Source organism: Homo sapiens, chromosome 21, assembly GCF_000001405.40.
Source record: "Homo sapiens chromosome 21, GRCh38.p14 Primary Assembly".
In the NCBI taxonomy this organism is placed as follows: Eukaryota; Metazoa; Chordata; class Mammalia; order Primates; family Hominidae; genus Homo; species Homo sapiens.
This window is the reverse complement of record NC_000021.9, coordinates 33,007,775-33,014,235: the sequence shown is the minus strand read 5'-3', so window position 1 is coordinate 33,014,235 and position 6,461 is coordinate 33,007,775.

The window sequence follows — 6,461 nt, the reverse complement described above, 5'->3', positions numbered from 1 at the left end:
GTGAATGCCCTGAAGCAGTGGGGGATGTTTCTGGAAAAGATCTGGGAGGTCATCGTCACCTCCAGCATAGTTATTGGGTCTTGGGCCTAGGGCTGGCAGCTGAGGTTAACATGTCTCAGCGAGGGACAGCGTAGGCAGAGCTCCTAGCAGACAGCTGATGTGAAGTGGGTGGCATGGGTTGGCAGGTAGCATAACGTAAAGGGGTCAGTTCAGCAAGAGGATATAACAATTGTAAATATATATGCACCCAACACTGGAGCAACCAGGGATATAAAGTAAATATTATTAGAGATAGAGAGAGATTTCTCTCTATATATAGAGAGAGATAGACCCCAGTCAGATGTACTGGGGTCTATACCCCAGTACAACAATTGCTGGAGACTTTAACACCCTACTTTCAGCACTGGACAGATCTTCTCCTAGGAGCTGACATGGCCCATAAACTGCCCTAGGCCCCTTATACTGACAATGATTCAGGCAGGACCTGCCACCTGAGTCTCCTTTTGCGGGGATTGGGGGGGCGTTGGGGGCGGTGCAGAGCCCTTGGAGGTCCAGGGCATGGATTTGAGCAGGAGTCAGCAGGTCTTCTGATAGTGTGGGGCTTCCTTCCAGGACTGTTTTCCAAGGATTAAGAGACTTGCCCCTTGTCCTGGGTTGAATGGTGCACCCCCCTAAAAAAAATATGTGCAGATCCCCAGAACTTGTGAATGTGCCCTTGTTTGGACAACGGGTCTTTGCAGATGTCATTAAGTTAAGGATCTTGAGATGAGATCATCCTGGATTACCAGGCAGGCCCTAAATCCAATGACAAGTGTCTTTATAAGAGAAAGGCAGAGGGAGATTTGAGACAGACAGAAGATGAGAAGATGCAGCCAGGAGGAGAAGGCCAGATGGGGGCAGAGATGGAGGTGATGCAGCAGCAGGCCGAGGAATGCCTGAGGCCACCAGAGTCTGGAAGAAGCGAGGAAGGATTCTCCATTAAAGCCTTCAGAGGAAATGCGCTCCGGCCAACACCTTGCTTTTGAACTTCTGGCCTCCAGAGCTATGAGACAATAAATATCCATGTATTAAACTATGAAGTTGGTAGCAGTTTGTTATGGCAATGCTAGGAAGCGCCTCCAGAGTAAAGACTCAGCCACCAGTTGGAGGCGAGACAGCGCAGCAGACTCAGTGATGATGGAGAGGCGAGTGCCTTCAGCCTCACCTCTCTGGTGGGTTCACTCTCCTCTGCCTCCACCCCACGCTCTGCTCCTGGATTCCTCCAGTTGGGCTCAGTCAACCTGGTGCGGGGAGGAGACTGAGGCATTTGTCTCCTTGGCTTCCTCCCTGTCATGTCTACTGCAGCTTAGCTATGTCCCCAGTACTAGGTCATGGTTACTTCCAAGGCAGCCTTTTCTGCACAACTCTTTCCTCTGGGTTCTGGAAAATTCTCCCTCCCATTGTTCTTTGGGGACAGCTCTGGCTCTGCTAGCTTCTGACCCCTGTACTATCTCTTGTGGCTTCTCTACATGCTGGCTCCATTGTGGTAATGAGTCCCTTTGTCAATTAGCCCCTTTCCAAGTATCCTAACTTGGGTATGCTATTTCCTGCTGGGACCCTGACTGAGACAGTGCAGCTGGGGCTCCATCTCCCTGGTTTTATGGAGTGTGGGAGTCAGGGTAGAAGTGTAGAACTTTAGATGGTAGGTGTAAGTTTCCTGAGGGCCAGAACTCTCCAAGGGGGTGATCCACATATTCTGAACGGTGAGATGAGAGAGTGCTTTAGGGTCTCTATGTCAGGGACCAGGATCCAGCCTTCATTCTCTGAAGGGCCATGCATGCTGCCTCTGTTGAAATCTAGTATGGTGCTTTGGCACCATTGATGTCTCTTGATGTCCAGAGGCTCATCCAGAGTGAGGTATAACTTGCCTGGCAAAGCCTCCTGGAGGGCTGAAATATGGATGGACACAGAAAGGGTTCCATGGCCCCATTACCTCCCCAGAACGGGGTGTGGACAAAAGTGTTCCAAGTTGCAGAATTAGAATAAAATTCCATGAAACCCACAATGTGCATTGAAGAACATACATCCATGTTTCAATTTCAAAATAGTTCTCACTCTTCCCTGATGTCTTAGTTTGTGTTGCTATAAAGAAACACCTGAGGCTGGGTCATTTATGAAGGAAAGAGGTTTATTTGGCTCATGGTTCTGCAGGCTGTACAAGAAGTGTGGTGCCAGCATCTGCTTCTGGTGAGGGCCTCAGGAAGCTTCCAATCACGGCAAAAGGTGAAGGAGAGCAGGCATCACACAGCCAGAGAGGAAGGAAGAAGAGAGAGGAGGAGAGAGGTCCAAGCTCTTTTTTAACAATTGGTTATCATAGGAACCAATAGAGTGAGAACTCATTCATTACCGAGAAGATGGTACCAAGACATTCAATGAGGGATCTGCCCCCATGACCCATGATCTGAACACCTCCCACCAGGCTCCACCTCCAACACTGAGGATCAAATTGCAACATGAGGTTTGGTGGGAGCAAATATACAAACCATATCACCTGACAAACTACAAACAATGACTCACGGCCCCATTCAGATGCCCTGTGCTCATCAGTGTTTCTGTTGTCTGGAATGTGATGCCAAAGAAGTTGGCCCCAACTCCAGACTCAGATGACTGTCCAGCTGACTCACCAGCCTGAGAAAAGGAAACAGAAGAGGAGAACCCAGATTTGAGGCCAGGGGATGGAACATGGAGAAACACGACAAAGGAGAAGCTTAAAGCAGAACAGACAGTGGCCAAGGAGAAGTCTCTGAATTGGAAGGAGAACACCACCATTTTCTTCAAAATATTTCATTGATGAGTATTTTTCTGGTAATAGAAGTCATACATGGTCCTTGGTAGGAAATATGGAAAATACAGGATCTGATCATTGTAGAAAGCTTAGTAAATACAAGGTTTCATGGTAGTCAAGGTGAGAGATGATAAGGACCCTGTTATGGATTGAGCTGTGTTTCCCTGACCCAAATTGGTATGTTTAAGTCCTAACTCCTAGTACCTAAGAATGTGACTGTATTTGGACATAGGTCTTTAAAGATGTAATTAAATTAAAATGAGGTCATTGGGGTGGGCCCTTAATATGACTAGTGTCCTTATAAGAGGAAGAGATTAGGACACAGACACACACAGAGGGGAGACCATGTGAAGACACATGGAGAAGACGGCCATCCACAAGCCAAGGAGAGAGGCCTCAGAAGAAACCAACCCTGCTGACACCTTCATCTCAGGCTTCCAGCCTCCAGAATTGTGAGACAATACATTTCTGCTGTTTAAGCCACCCGGTCTGTGCTACTTTGTCATGGCAGCCCTAGCAGACAAATGCAGACTCCAACCTTGGGCAGTGGCAGACTCCCCTCATGGAGAAGAGGGGAGGGATGGAAGACATTTTTAGGAGGTGAAATTGGCAAACTTTGATGAATGGCTCCGTATAGACAAGTGAGGGTGCAGAGTAGTGGAGGACTTTGTTAGTTTTCTAAGCCTGAGCAGCTGGACGGATGAGGGTGCCCCATCTCATCAACTGTGATGGAGAATCCAAGAGGAAGAGTTTCTGTTTGGATGAGTTGAAGGGGAGACACAGGAGGAGCACCCAGTGGGGATGCCCGTTCTCTGGTTGATCTAGTCCAGGGCTTCAAGCCAAGGGCTGAAGGGAGGCACAAGGGCACATCAGTGCAAGCGGAAAGCATACTGCGAGTAGAGGAGGGTGGCAGAGGACAGACCCCCGGGGAGGCGCACATTTATTTTCTTGGAGAAAGGAACCATCATGTATTGTGCTGATGATCGCATTGCAGCTGTTCACATTTATTAGGTTGATTCCGAAATATTGTCTGCCTCCCCTAATTTCTCTTTCAACCCATTGTTTAAAAATTCCCAAGATAGGCACAGACAGACTACTCCCCAAATGCTAAATTGGTCAAATTAGGGGGAAGGCTGTCTCTTTAACCTACCCCTGTGATTATTTGGTACACATGGTGCTTAGCATGCTGGCTTCCAGGAGCCACCATATGGGCAGGTAAGTGCGGAGCTGGATGGTCAAACAATGGGCTGTTTTGCTTTTAGCAATACGCGTTCTTACTTTTGTGTACCCCCCCTGGCCTCCTTTCTTTAAGATTATTTTAATTGGAAAAATGCACATCAATGTGTGTTAGAAATGTGTGGGACTGGAAACAATAGTCTCTCCTAATGATGTGAATAATGTGATTTTTGTTATCATATTAATGCCAGCATATCTTGCCGGATTACTATGTATCAGGCACTATGCTGTATCATTTCTCTTAGGATATATAGTTTTCCACGAAGACATACGATCCTTAAACTCTGGAGAATACAAAATTGAAAATTAGCTTTCTGTTTAAGAGTGCAGGCTCTGGATTGAGGTTGCCTGAGTTAGAATTCTGATTTCCTCACTTATTAAACTAATGCCATTCTGAGTGAGCTACTTAACGTCTATGTCTCGGTTTCCTCATCTGTAACAGTGTCTTCCTTACAATTTATTATGAGTGTCAAATTTGATAATATGGGGAAAGCATGTAGAACAGTGCCTGGGACATAGTAAAAGCTCAACGAATTTCACTCTAAGGGCTCCCTATATATGGATATTTCAGGATTTTTTTTTTTTACATGCCTCAAGATTGTTTTTGGAAAACAAAAAAAATTAATAAGCAAGAGCTAACATGGCTATCTTTAGGCCTCAGTTGTATTAAACTACTAGGCTTAGTATTTCTCTAATACTCTATAAACTCTCCCATGCTTGTTTCACGTACATTTCCTCAGTCCATCTCTCCGCATTGAGGCTAGATCAGCTACCTGCCTGCTTCTGTTTAAAGAAATTATTTCCTTCTTTGAAAAAAGAACATGCCTATGCTGTCTCCTTACTACAAAATGTTTGGGATTCCAGCAATTTCTTTAAGTTACTTCCCAAATGAAATTGTCACCATTATCCTACTTTAAAATTCCAGTATTCAGTTCCACATTTTAAAAAGTTCTTTAAAATCTCATACCAAGTGGAAGATGCGAGTCAGTCTCCTGCCTGACATTTTATTAAGAATTAAAAATAATGAAGCCAGCAGAGATACAGAGAGAGACTAATTTAGAAACCTGGCATGATTGCTTTTAATTTGTTGACAATGTGGTGTTTGTCGGGGGAGGGAGGTGGTGGGGGAAGGACAGGGTACCGCGTGGCCAGGCTCAACCAGGCCTTGCATTAATGGGGTAACAGCTGAACTAAGTGTTCAGAGTGAACACATCAAAGACTGTAGTCTTTGAGATACCATTTTTTCTATTCTGGGATGTCAAAGGTGGTTGCAAATATATCCAGTGCTTTCTGGGTGGCATTGTTTAGGATGCTGGCCCAGCAGATGGCCCCAAATGCACCTCAGCCTGGTAAAGCAGAGACCACATGGGATGACATAGTCTTCTCATTAGCAAACAGAAAAAAAAAAAAGGCAAGGATGAGAAAGGAGAGAGATAAAAAGAATACACAAAGACATTTACATATTTACATTGTCTCCTCCACATTTCAAATTCTCCTTTAGCTGAAGTGTCAGGGGGCTTGCTTTTCTCCTTCTGTTTGTATGTTTACTTGTGCTAAATAGATTATGGTAATCAGGCACATAAATGCATGCAACTGTTATTATGGCATTTTAATCACAGAGTTTTTCACTGGAAGCCTTCATTAGAATTCTCATAATCTTACTTGTTATTGTAACAAACAGTAATAAATGCCAAGGAGCTTGGATTAAGGCAGAGGCATTCAGACTTTAAAAGAGGAATATGGAAATGTTGTCAAATCTCTGCATTACTTATTGAAATGTCACATAAACAGTTCGGGATTCTAAATATCTTACTCATTATAAGGATAGGGAACCAGGCAACCTGAAAATAGTAATTATGTCTTTCTTCTGAGCACCAACATTTGCCGTCCATACATTCCAACTAACTCTTCTGAAATAACTGGATGGTCCAATATACAGCCTGGGCCATGATGTATGATTATGATAAACTAGAGAAATTTATTATCTGATTTCATTTATTTTAGGCATGGTGGTAAGTATGTGTGAACACAAACACATATAGAAATTTACTATCTTTCAATTTTGCACAATTATTTGGCAAGCTGCTGGAAAAAACTGCAGTTCTTTTTTTGTTTTCTAGGAAGCAATATCATAGCCATGTGCTTGAGAATAAGCCACTCTTTCTGAAAATAGTATGTTCTTGCAAACAGGTCTAAGCATTGGGACATAGTAGATGACTACCCTGATCTTGCACAAGCCCACAGCTTAGATGTGACAATCTAAGTTCCGGGGGAAACTCCCTTACCGTAGTTATGTGTTGCTGTGGGATAAACTACAGCAAGACTTAGTGGCTTAAAACAAAAACAATGACTTCTTTCTCATGATTCTGGTAAAGCAGCCATGTAGAGATGACCCAACTAG